Here is a 12,760-nt window from a genome sequence, read left to right as displayed (position 1 = left end):
AGCCAAGATGGCACCACTGCACTCCAGCCAGGGTGACAGTATAAGACTCTGTCTCAAAAAAAAAAAAAATACATACATACATACATACATACATACATACATACATACATATACATATATATATATGTGTGTGTATATATATATATATATATATATGTGTATATATATATATATGCATGGAAAAGGTACAGTAAAAACATGGCATAAAAGATAAAACCTGTAGGCTGGGCATGCATGGTGGCTCACGCCTGTAATCCCAGCACTTTGGGAGGCCAAGGTGGGCGGATCACGAGGAAAGGAGATCGAGACCATCCTGGCTAACACAGTGAAACCCCGTCTCTACTAAAAATACCAAAAATTAGCCGGGCGTGGTGGTGGGCACCTGTAGTCCCAGCTACTTGGGAGGCTGAGGCAGGAAAATGGCTTGAACCTGGGAGGTGGAGCTTGCAGTGAGCAGAGATCATGCCACTGCACTCCAGCCTGGGCGACAGAGCAAGACTCCATCTCAAAAAAAAAAGAAAGAAAAAAAAAAGCAACAACAAAAACCCATATAGGGCACTTACCATGACTGGAACTCGCCGGACTGGAAATTGTTCTGGGTGACTCAGTGAGTGAGTGGTGAGTGAATGCAAAGGCAAACACTGTAAACTTAGGCTACTTTAAATTTATGAGAAGATATTTTTCTGCAGTAAAAAATTAACCATAGCCTACTGTAACTTTTTTGCTTTATAATTTTTAAAATTTTAAAAAACTTGACTCTTATATTAACACTTAGCTTAAAACACATTGTACAGCTATATAAAAGTATTTTCTTTATATCCTTATTCTATAAGCTTTTTTCTATTTCTATTTTTATTTTTTACTTTTTAGACTTTTTTGTTAAAAACTAAGACATAGACACACACATTAACCTAGGCCTACACAGGGTCAGGATCATCAGTGTCACTGTCTTCCATCCCCACATCTTACGCCATTGGAAGGTCTTCAGGGGGAAGTAACACATATGGAGCTGTCATCTCCTATGATAACAATGACTTCTTCCTGAATACCTACTGAAGGACCTGCTTGAGGCTGTTTTCCAATTAACTTTTTAAAAATTTGTAAGTATAAGGAGTACACTAGCAAATAATGATGAGAGGTGCAGTATAGTAAATACATTAATTGTTAACATAATTGTTTATCATTATACGACTGGCAGTGCAGTAGGTTTGTTTACACCAGTATCACCATAAACATGTGAGTAAAGTGTTGCCCTACAATCAGTGAAAGCCTCAACTACAATGTCACAAGACAATTGGAACTTTATAGCTCTATTATAATCTTAGGGGACCACTGTCTTATATGCAGTTCATTGTTGACTGAAATGTCCTTACGTGGCACATGACTGTATTATTTTTCCCTATACCAACTACTTAAGTATGGCTTTAAAAAAAAAAAAAAAGAAAAGGAAAAAAAGACATTTTCCACAGTAAAAATCCTTGGAAACGATTGATCTTTGTGTTTACTTTGGGCCCTGGAAAAAACAGGATTGCCCATATCCACTTACTCCCAGCCATGAGAGGCAGCATCCAGTTACTTGGAGTGGAAGGGAATAGATACGGAGCTCAGCAGATGGAGGACGAGGGAGCCTTGTTCCATTGCAAGGAGGGAACTATGGGTTTAGCATCAGTGGTGGAACTCTGACAGGCGTCTCCTGTGGAAGACTTTCTTTCCCGGGAGTTTCTTTACTATGGTTTCTTTACCACTGCTAGTATTACACATTAGGTATCTTAGGGATCAAATAGACCAATGTGGACTTACTGTTGGCCTGAAGTATTGTAATGTTATTTTACCCAATCCTTTAACAAAATCTTGTTGAGAACCTACTGTGTATGAGCCATCTACTACGTTTGGGGATAGCATAGCAGCAAATGAGTTGAGCTCTGTTCCAGTCCTTATGAGAGCCTTTCAAAGAAAATTTTGTTCTGTTTTACTCTCAAACTTTTGGAAATATAAGCCATTTCTAAACTGGAGGATGCCTGTATTTTCCCAGAAAAAGCAACAAATAGAGAAAAGATTAAAAGTGTCTAATGGTTACATAAAAGTATTATTTCAAGAAACAGTAAGGAATGAAGACGGAAGTTTTGAGTTTCAGTTTTAACACTTACTCAAAAGCTAGTCCATCTGATACTAAGCAATTTATTCAGCAAATATTTATTGCTTGCCTCCCAGGCAATAAGCACTGCTGTGTGCCTGGGATATAGCAAGAAATAAACACAGACCCCTCCCCTCATGGAGCTTATGCCTTAGTGGCTTTTTTTTGTAAATCCTTTTGTTTAGGGATGTTGCATGAATAAGGCTTCTAGTATTGGGTAAAAATCCCCATTTGAAAAAGATTTTCCAAAATCTAACTTTTGTTTTGTTCTTAGACTGCTGTATATGTATTTTCTTTTTTGGCTACAGTGCCACAAAATTAATATTCACTCAAACGGTTATCCTTTTCAATTTGTAATTCCATTTACAGTTTTTTAAATGCTGCATTGGTGAGGTAAGAGTAAAGGAAAAGTAAAATAAAAAAGTTTACAGCCAAGACCTTTGGAGATTTTTTTTCCCGAATGATGTATCCTAAAGGAACCTGTTGTTCTTACAACTTAAATTTTTTAAAACCCAGTGTCATGTGTTAATTTCAGACTAGTTTTAAGCTTTCTGTTTTTAACTGCTTTGTGAACTCTAAAAACTATTTTAGGAGAAGTATGCTTTTTTGTATTACAGCTTTCTAATTGTGTTTTGTCATTTTAGGGGTTTAACAGTAATGTTTGAAATAATGAAAACATATGGCCACACTTATGAGAAACACTGGTGGCAGGATTTATTTAGAATTGTTTTCAGAATCTTTGACAATATGAAATTGCCAGAACAACAGACAGAGGTAAGAGGATACACAATTTTCATTTAGCTTAGTCAAGTTAAAAGATTCTCAGTATTATAATCAATACATTTTAGTGTTTCAAATTAAGTACAGAAAAGAATTCCTAGAAAATTTTTCTTTAAGGCATGAGAATGTAATACTATGTCTTTATAAATAAGAACACTGGCTGGGCGCAGTGGCTCACGCCTGTAATCCCAGCACTTTGGGAGGCCAAGGCGGGTGGATCATCTCAGGTCAGGGGTTTGAGACCAGCCTGGCCAACATGGTGAAACCCCATCTCTACTAAAAATACAAAAATTATCCGGGTGTGGTGGCAGGTACCTGTAGTCCCAGCTACTTGGGAGGCTGAGGCAGGAGAATTGTTTGAACCCGGGAGGTGGAGGTTGCTGTGAGCTGAGATCGCGCCACTGCACTGCAGCCTGGGCGACGAGCAAAACTCCATCTCAAAAAAAAAGAACACTGTGTGGGGGATAGAACTGAATTGATGAATTGATTTTTTTGTTCTGTTTTGTTTTCAGTGTTTTTCTGACTTTTTCGTTTCTTTTCCTCATTTTGATAGTTACAACTATAAAACATCAGTAACTTTCTTTAGTATTATATAGTGACTTCTTTTTTATATTGAGTAAAGAATACAAAGTAAATTTTATTTATTTCAACATATTTTACTATGAACCAGTTACAATATACATTTTAGGAAATGTGTCAAGAGAGCTTCATATTTTCCCCTTTTGTTCCATACAGCAGTATTAAATGCAGACTTCTGCAATTATTTTTTATGGGCTTGAAAAAAATAAATTACACTTACGTTGTATAGCCCTTTTTTTATGGTGTTTTCAGATAACCATACTTCAGGAAAGTCATTTTTATTTTAAACCTATGCTAATCCCATTTGGACAAATTCTTACCTCTTTATTTCCCTTTCATGTTCTGTCATATTCTAGAGCAAGGCCGGCGTTGCTATTCATGCACTTCGAAAAATCATAATGTTAGTATCAAGATGATACGGTGATGGTTTTTTTTAATAATCAAAACAAGCAGTGCCAAAAATGGTTAAATTATTGTATACATAGGTGGTTATGGGATAATAAGGAGCAATAGATATCAGATTTTAAGTTGAGGTGAATATAACGTTCTAGAGGGAATTCAGGGGTCTAAAAGGAACACTGACAGCCTTCCATTTTTAATATGAAAACATTTATATATATATATATATATATATATATTTTTTTTTTTTTTTTTAATCATAGTAGTTGATTAATGGCGTGATGTTCATTAATGACTTTTTTCCCCAGAAAGCTGAATGGATGACAACAACTTGCAATCATGCACTTTATGCAATCTGTGATGTATTCACTCAGTATTTAGAAGTACTCAGTGATGTACTTTTGGATGACATTTTTGCTCAGCTCTACTGGTGTGTGCAGCAAGGTAGGTCTGTACCAGATATGTGACACAAAGTGTTAAATGTGACCCTGGTAATATATAAATGAATTGCTCTTTTCTTTCCTAGACAATGAGCAGTTAGCGCGATCTGGTACAAACTGTTTAGAGAATGTTGTTATTCTGAATGGTGAAAAATTTACCCTAGAAATCTGGGATAAAACTTGCAACTGCACACTGGATATCTTCAAAACCACAATCCCACATGCGTAAGAAGATTTTATACAACTTTACATTTATATTTGTATATTGAATGAGTTGGAGAGTGACTAGTGATTAAAAGTTTGATAGTGACTACTGATTTCTCATAACAGAAATCCTTTTAAGCTTGTCTTACTCTTACATGGATTTAGATTTATTACAAACCAAACTGCTATAAACTATAACAAATACATAAATTAAACTATTTATAAACCAAAACCTTTAGTCTGGTTACCAAAATTTGGGACATAATGAAGTGATTCTGCTGACTTTTATAAGATTTTATTTATTCAGATCAAACCAAGCAGTGGTTTTGAATTGGAAAAAAAAAAATCTCAGCCTGTTTCTGTTACTGATCTTTTAATAATCTAAGGAAAATGTATTTACACATACTATATTTCGTATTTCGTAACAGCTTGTCATCTTTCTCTAAGGGATGAGTGTGAAATGGAATTATAGTGAGGTAGGTTTTTTTTTTTTTTTTTGAGATGGAGTTTCGTTCATGTTTACCAGGCTGGAGTGCATTGGCGCAATCTCGGCTCACCACAACCTCCGCCTCTTGGGTTCAAGTGATTATCCTGCCTTAGCCTCCCAAGTAGCTAGGATTACAGGCATGCACCACCATGCCTGGCTAATTTTGTATTTTTAGTTGAGATGGGGTTTCTCCACGTTGGTCAGGCTGGTCTCAAACTCCCAACCTCGGGTGATCCGCCCACCTTGGCCTCCCAAAGTGCTGGGATTACAGGCGTGAGCCACCGCGCCTGGCCAATTTTATGATTTTTTTTTTTTTTTGAGAAGCCTCTTACTTTGGAAAATATTTGATATTAATACTTAGGGAAAGGAGGTCTGAAATCTTTAAAACTTATCAGAAAGTGTTCTTTTAATGCAAAACTGGTGACCATATTACCCTTTTAATTATATTAAATGCCACTTAATTTTTTTCTAAAAGTACATATTTTAAACTTTTTACTAGATGTTTTTTAGGAAATTGCTAAAATTAGCAGTGGTCAAAGATGGACTGTTTAGTTGGTATGTTCTTGTTACTTTCTTGGGCCCATTTCAAAATATGCTGGATGTGGCATGTGGCACAGCCCCCTAGTGATTGACGTGGTTTTGGTATCTTAAAGGCTGTTGACCTGGCGACCCAATTCTGGAGAAACTGCCCCCCCACCTCCATCTCCTGTAAGTGAAAAGCCATTGGTAAGTTTTAATCAGTAAAGTATATTGAAATTAGTTATTTGTGATGAGTAATTTTATTATGGGTCAAATTCTTACATGTAATTGTCTTAATCCATTCCTGCTATTAAAAAAATATCTGAGACTGGATTACTTATAAATAGACATTTTTTTTTTACAATTACGAAGGCTGGGAATTGTATGATCAAGTGTCTGGTGAGAGCTGCTCTCTGCTTCCAAGATGGCACCACGTTGCTGCATTCTCACGTGGTGGAAGGAGGAGGGACAGAAAGGGGCCTAGCTAGTTCCCTCCAGTCCTTTTTTAAGGCACTAATTCTCATGGCCTACTCACCTCCTAAAATCTCTACCTCTTGATACTGTTGCATTGGGGATTAAGTTTTATTATGAATTTAGGAGGGAATGCAAACATTCATATCATTGCAATGCGTTTGACTCTTTTAAGAAGATGGTATAAATTTACTGTCCAGAATTGTGAAGTTAATTCTTTGGTCAATGTCACAGACAATTAATATGTGTCTTTGTTAAGTGCCATGAAGGGAGTATTTTAAATTATTTTTAAATATAGGACATAGAACAAAATGATTTTTTAAGGGTTGTGAGAGAAAGGTACCAGATTACGTAGCTGTCTCCATGCAAAGCTGAAGATATTGTTGGATAGTATTTAAACTTTTTATTTTTATATAATTTCACCTTATAGAAAAGTAACACAAAACAGTACAAAGAATTCTAACATTCACTTCACCCAGTGTATTGGTTTCCTAGTTCTACCATAAAAAATTACCACAAACTTGGTGGCTTAAAACTATAGAAACCTACTATCTCATGGTTCTAAAGACCATGGGTCCTAAATCAAGGAGTTAGCAGGGCCACATTCCCTCCAAAGGCTCTAAGGGAGAATCCTTACTAGCTTCGTCCAGCTTCTGGCGGCTGTTGACAACCTTTGGCATTATTTGGCTTGTTCACATATCACTCCAATCTCTGCCACCATCTATCCATAGTCTCCCTCACTGTGTGTGAATTAAATCTCTCCCTCTCCTTTTTGTTTTATGAAGACATTAGTCATTGGATTTAGGGTTTACCTGAAATCCAGGATGATCTCATCTCAAGATCGTTAATTACATCTGAAAAGACCTTATTTCCAAGTAAGGTAACATTTGCAGGTATCAGGGGTCAGGACTTGAACATACTTTTTAGGGGACAATATTCATGCCACTATGGTCTACCCACTGACACCTAAAAATTCATGTCCATCCCATCGGCAAAAGATGGTCACCCCATTCTAAGGTCCCCAAAAGTCTAAACTCATTACAGCATCAACACTATGTCCAAAATCCCTTATAAATATAATCAAAAGTCCCTAATCTGATCATCCGCATCTGCATTAAGGATGGATGACACTCTTGAGTATGCTCTATTCTGGGGCAGAATTCGTCTCCATCTGTGGACCTGTGAACCTAGAAAACAGGTTTGTAACTTTTAAAATACAGTAGTGGGACAAGCATAAGATATACGATCTCATTGCAAAAAGGAGAAATTGGAAGGAACAAAGGATCACCAGTCCTAAGCAAGGTTGAAACTTAGCAGGGACAATTCCGTTGAGTTTTAAGGCCTGAGAATAATGCTGTGTGGCTTGATATTCTGCCCTCTGGGGCTATGGCTGGCTTCTTCGGGCCTGAGCCCTACACTCTCAGTTGTTCTTCTTTTTCTTAAAGGTTAGCACGTTTGTAGCTCTGTTGACCCATTTTCTGCCTGTAGAATCCTAGAATTCAGCCTCCCTTCCTCTTATTGTTTCTGTCCCTTTCATTCTAGGCTGGCCATATGTCTGCTGGTATATCATTCTCAAAATCCTTGTGGGTCTTCTGTATGTGTTAAGAGAAACCATGCCATTAAACAAGAGTGTGATCCACACATCTTTCTGGATAGTCCTGTTATGTTCCTGGCTTCTGCTGAGATGATCGATTGGCTCCACTAGATATATACCTAATCTCTTTGGCAAAAAGTTGTCCAGCTATTATAGCCTTGGCCTTCTCTCCAAAGCATGCTTTCCTAACAATTCATTTCCTAATTGTAGCATCGTTTTCAATCTCGATAGGCACAAGATCCTCTCACATCATCAACTGGCAGTTTCTTTTTGCTTAACAGTTCTTTCATCAATATATCTTCTTCTTGCATTGTACTATAAACAGCAAGGATAAACCAGGCCACACCTTCAGCACTTTGCTTGGAAATCTCAACTACATATCATCACTTAGAATTCTGCTTTCCACCCAACAATTCAGCCAAGCTTTCTGCCACTTTACAACAAGGATCACCTATCAGTATCTAATATCATGTTCTTGATTTCCTTCTAAGACCTCACCAGAAGCACCTTTTAACATTCATATTTGTACCAATAATCTGTTTCATGGCCATACATGTCTTCTCTAAGATGGTAGATGCTTTCTCTCACACATTGCACTTCCTTGTGGATCCTCACCAGAACTACATTTGACATCCATATTTCTACCAACAGTCTCTTCAGGGCAATGTAGGTGTTTCCCTATCATGTGTCTCAGAACTCTTCCAGCTTCTACCATTGCCCAGTTCCAAAGCCACTTCTACATTTTTAGGTGTTTGTTACAGCCACATTCCATTTCATGGTATCAAAATCTTTATCAGGGCCAGCAAAACAAAACCAGCAGGAGAGATTTGTATAGATAGATTTAAGGAACTGGCTTACGTGATTGTGGAGGCTGGCAGGTTTGAAATTTTGTAGGGCAGGCAGGCAGGCTGGAAAGCCTTGGGCTGCTGCTGAAGCTGCAGTTCACAGGCGGGATTTCTTCCCCAGGAAAACCTGTTTTGCTCAGTTTTGAAGGCTTTCAACTGATTGGATAAGGACCATCTAGATTATTGAAGATAATTTCCTTAAAAAGTGAGCTGACTATAGATGTTAACCACATGTATAAAATACCTTCAGCTGAACACCTGGAATAGTGTTTAATTGAATTAATTGTTACTCCTTCGACTTAAGTATCTGGCTTAAGTACATAGGATATTGGTATTGTGTCCTAGCCAAATTGACACAAAAGTAATCATTACACCAGGTTTCTCCAAATGTTGTCATTTTACATTTGTTTTTACCAACCCCAGCTGTCCTCCCTCTTTTTATCTTGCTACCCTGCCTCCCAGACACACAATTTTCTGAATTCTTTGGAAGTAATTTGTAAACACAATGCCCACTTATCCCTAACAATCAAAAAATTATCCTTGAAACAATACTCTTATTTAATCTACAGGTCTTTTCAAATTTGTACTGTTCTCCCAATAATACCTTTGAATTTTAAAGCCAGGAGGCTGTAAAGTAGCAAACTAACGCCAACTGACCAGATTTGTTCCCCACAACTTTTAACTTTCTTAACAAATTGTCAACGGTTAAAACTTAGATTTCACAGAAAAGTATCATTCTGAATTGCCCTTGAGAACTGTGACATCTATGCTGGGCCCGTGTTGCTCCATGACTCTGTTGTGCTGACGTCCATTCAGAATAGAACCCACTATTACTTAGGACATCCCAAAAATTATCCTCATTTACATTGGTTAGTGAGAAAAATTGAGAAAACAATATACCTAACATCCAAAAATTCCTCTAATACAGAGCAAGGTTTTTAAATCCCTAATTTTTTGACCTAGTTTTTGTGTAGGTTTAGTTTTCTGGAGAGAACATTTTAGAAATCATCAGACTGTTCAAGAGGGCCCGTGACCAAAAATATTTAAAAACCAGTGCTTTCATTTATCTTCAGTAAGATAATACATTTTTAATTCTGAGAACTGAGTAATTTCTTCCTTAAAATACACTTAAGTCCAAGCTAACGTATTGTTTTGATTATTACTATTTCTGGTAACACAGGCCCATCTTCCTTTCACACAGCAGGTAAGGTTGCTCAGGCTGGGACTGTTACGTCAGAATAACAAAAGCTAAGCACTCCTCCTGAAACCAGGTTCTCTCATGTCTTGAGTGTGCTGTGCCTTTATAATGAAAGAAAGCTCGAGGAGGAGTAGGGTCAGCTGCCATTTATTGCCCAACACTGTGCTGCTAGTGTTTTGGATTTATTATATCTAGTTCTTAACAACCTGCAAGGAAAGTATATCATTTCTTTTTAGATCAGAAAACCTCACCTCAGGAAATTAATCATTTTTCCAAGGTTACACTCTTAATAATACTGGAACCTGTGGCTGGGCGTGGTGGCTCACGCCTGTAATCCCAGCACTTTGGGAGGCCGAGGCAGGCAGATCACCTGAGGTCGGGAGTTGGAGACCAGCATGACCAACACGGTGAAAACCCCCTCTCTACTAAAAATACAAAATGAGCCGGGCATGGTGGTGCATGCCTATAATCCCAGCTGCTGGGGAGGCTGAGGCAGGAGAATCGCTTGAACCCAGGAGGTAGAGGTCACGGTGAGCCGAGATCGCGCCATTGCACTCCAGCCTGGGCAACAAGAGCAAAACTCCATCTCAAAAAAGTAAATAAATAAATAATACTGGAGCCTAATTCTTGTGTAGGTCTGTTGGACTCCAGGGTCCAGCATCTCTTCATGATACGACACTCCTAGATAGTCACCTTCACATTGACCTTTCTAGTCCCTGGGTCCATGGGTGACAGAAGATCCTTTTCTAAATTCACCCCTGCAAAAGGTGTCTGTTTAGATTTCATGAACACTTGTGGGTATTGCTGACCAGTTTCTCTACACTTTGAAGTTTCGCATTTTTATCTGTTGCTGTTGGATGGTTTCAGACCTGAGCCCAGTGAGGGTCAGAAAGTCAACTTTTCTCTATGTACAGGTAATTTTAAATAATTTTCTGATTGTGTTATAACTGTAATGTGTAAAACATCATTTTCATAGGGACATAATATAATTTTTTAAAATAGCGTTTTAGAAAATATTTTCACCCATAAACTTTATTAACCATACTTACAGTGATTTTTTTTTTATTTATTAGGATACAATATCACAGAAGTCTGTAGATATTCATGATTCTATTCAACCAAGGTCTGTGGATAACAGACCACAAGCACCACTGGTTTCTGCGTCTGCTGTTAATGAAGAAGTCAGCAAAATTAAATCTACAGCAAGTGAGTTATTTCTCTAAATAAAAATAAATTTGTGTTTTATGTAGGAAAGGGTTAACATTTTTGGTTTTACTTTTATTATTAACAAGCATATACTATAATTGATTGTGTCATCACTTCTTTTTTTTTTTTTTTTTTTTGAGACGGAGTTTCACTCTGTCGCCCAGTCTGGAGTACAGTGGCACGCCATCGTAGCTCACTGCAACCTCCGCCTCCCGGGTTCAAGCAATTCTTCTGCCTCAGCCTCCCGGGTAGCTGGGACTACAAGTGTGTACCACCATGCCCGGCTAATTTTTGTATTTTTAGTCGAGACGGGGTTTCACCATATTGGCCAGGCTGGTCTTGAACTCCTGACCTTGTGATCTGCCCGCCTCAGCCTCCCAAAGTGCTGGGATTACAGTGTGAGCCACTATGCCCGGCCACTTTTGTTTTTTTTTTTTTTGAGACGGAGTCTCACCCTGTCGCCTACGCTGGAGTGCAGTGATGCTCACTGCAACCTCCACCTCCCAGGTTCAAATGATTCTCCTGCCTCAGCCTCCCGAGTAGCTGGGATTACAGGTGCCCACCATCACCTCCAGCTGATTTTTGTAGTTTTAGTAGAGACAGGGTTTCACCATGTTGGCCAGGCTGGTCTCAAACTCCTGACCTTATGATCCGCCCGCCTCAGCCTCCCAAAGTGCTGGGATTACAGGCGTGAGCCACTGCGCCTGGCCATGTCATCACTTCTTTACTGTGTTTATCCTAATTTGGACATCCTCTGGTAGATAGATGCCCTCTTGCAGAAGGTCAAGAACTCTGCTGATCCTGAAATGTCAGCTTTTTCCGCCAACGAGCACCTGAGTCTTCTTTCTCCACCCCCTTCTGCATGCCAACCAACCCCATGTTCTGTCTGCAAAAGTAGGGCCTAGCATGCCTTCCTCTACCCATCTGCAACGGGAAGTAGTGAAGGACCGTTGCTTTCTAAGCAGGAGCACCCCACTTGTTTTTGTTGTTGTTTTTGGTTTTGGTTTTTTTTGAGACAGAGTCTCACTCTGTCACCCAGGCTGGAGTGTGATCTCGGCTCACTGCAGCCTCAACCTCCAGGCTCAAGCGATCTTCCCACCTTAGCCTCCCGAGTAGCTGGGACTACAGGCACACCTCATCACGCCCAGCTAATTTTTTATATTTTTTTGTAGGGACAGGGTTTTGCCATGTTGCCCAGGCTGATCTTGAACTCCTGAGCTCAGGCCATCCACCCACCTCAGCTTCCCAACATGCTTGGATTACAGGCTTGTGCCACGACGTCTGTCCAGGAGCACCCTATTGTTTTTCTTTTTTTTTTTTTTTTTTTTGAGACGGAGTCTTGCTCTGTCACCCAGGCTGGAGTATAGTGGTGTGATCTTGGCTCACGGCAAGCTCCACCTCCCGGGTTCACGCCATTCTCCTGCCTCAGCCTCCCGAGTAGCTGGGACTACAGGTGCCTGCCACCATACCCAATTAATTTTTTTTTTATTCTTTAGTAGAGACCGGGTTTCACCACGGTAGTCAGGGTGGTCTCGATCTCCTGACCTCGTGATCCACCCGGCTTGGCCTCCCAAAGTGCTGGGATTACAGGCATGAGCCACCGTGCCCGGCAGGAGCACCCTACTTTTTAAGGAGCAACCCTTTTCTCCACACTGCACCCCAACCTTAGTCGGCCTGTGCCCATTTCCCTCACTGCTGCCCACACCCCTGTCTCCATACAGGGATCCACAGGTCACCTGTATTCCTCCCCTCACCTTTTCACAAAAAAGAGGAACCCTTTACTTTTTTACTGGATCAATTCAGTTCCATTTGCTGAAGGAAAATTACAACACCTAGAAAAGACCACAGCCTCCTTAGAGGAGAACAGGACAGCTTTGAGAACTTTTTAAAACCTGAGGTGAAAT

At 39.3% G+C, this 12,760-nt stretch overlaps 1 protein-coding gene across 16 annotated transcripts in view; it reads left to right on the top strand.

Moving 5' to 3' along the window:
- The window catches only part of ARFGEF1 (ARF guanine nucleotide exchange factor 1), a 170,271-nt gene that overhangs the window by 121,443 nt on the left and 36,068 nt on the right, over positions 1 to 12,760 (top strand). For 11 of the 16 annotated variants that reach the window (NR_182117.1, NM_001413187.1, NM_001413184.1 and 8 more), the window contains 5 exons: positions 2,779 to 2,908; positions 4,201 to 4,336; positions 4,419 to 4,557; positions 5,677 to 5,749; positions 10,724 to 10,856. Coding sequence is in view for 15 of the 16 variants with exons in the window: in NM_001413187.1 (NP_001400116.1) it covers positions 2,779 to 2,908; positions 4,201 to 4,336; positions 4,419 to 4,557; positions 5,677 to 5,749; positions 10,724 to 10,856 (611 nt within the window). In the remaining variant the exon portion in view is untranslated. The remainder of the gene's footprint in view (positions 1 to 2,778; positions 2,909 to 4,200; positions 4,337 to 4,418; positions 4,558 to 5,676; positions 5,750 to 10,723; positions 10,857 to 12,760) is intronic. The other 5 variants (NM_001413186.1, NM_001413185.1, NM_001413192.1 and 2 more) reach the window with 1 other exon arrangement.

Source organism: Homo sapiens, chromosome 8 (assembly GCF_000001405.40).
Source record: "Homo sapiens chromosome 8, GRCh38.p14 Primary Assembly".
Taxonomy (NCBI): domain Eukaryota; kingdom Metazoa; phylum Chordata; class Mammalia; order Primates; family Hominidae; genus Homo; species Homo sapiens.
This window is presented reverse-complemented; position numbering and strand designations above follow the sequence as displayed.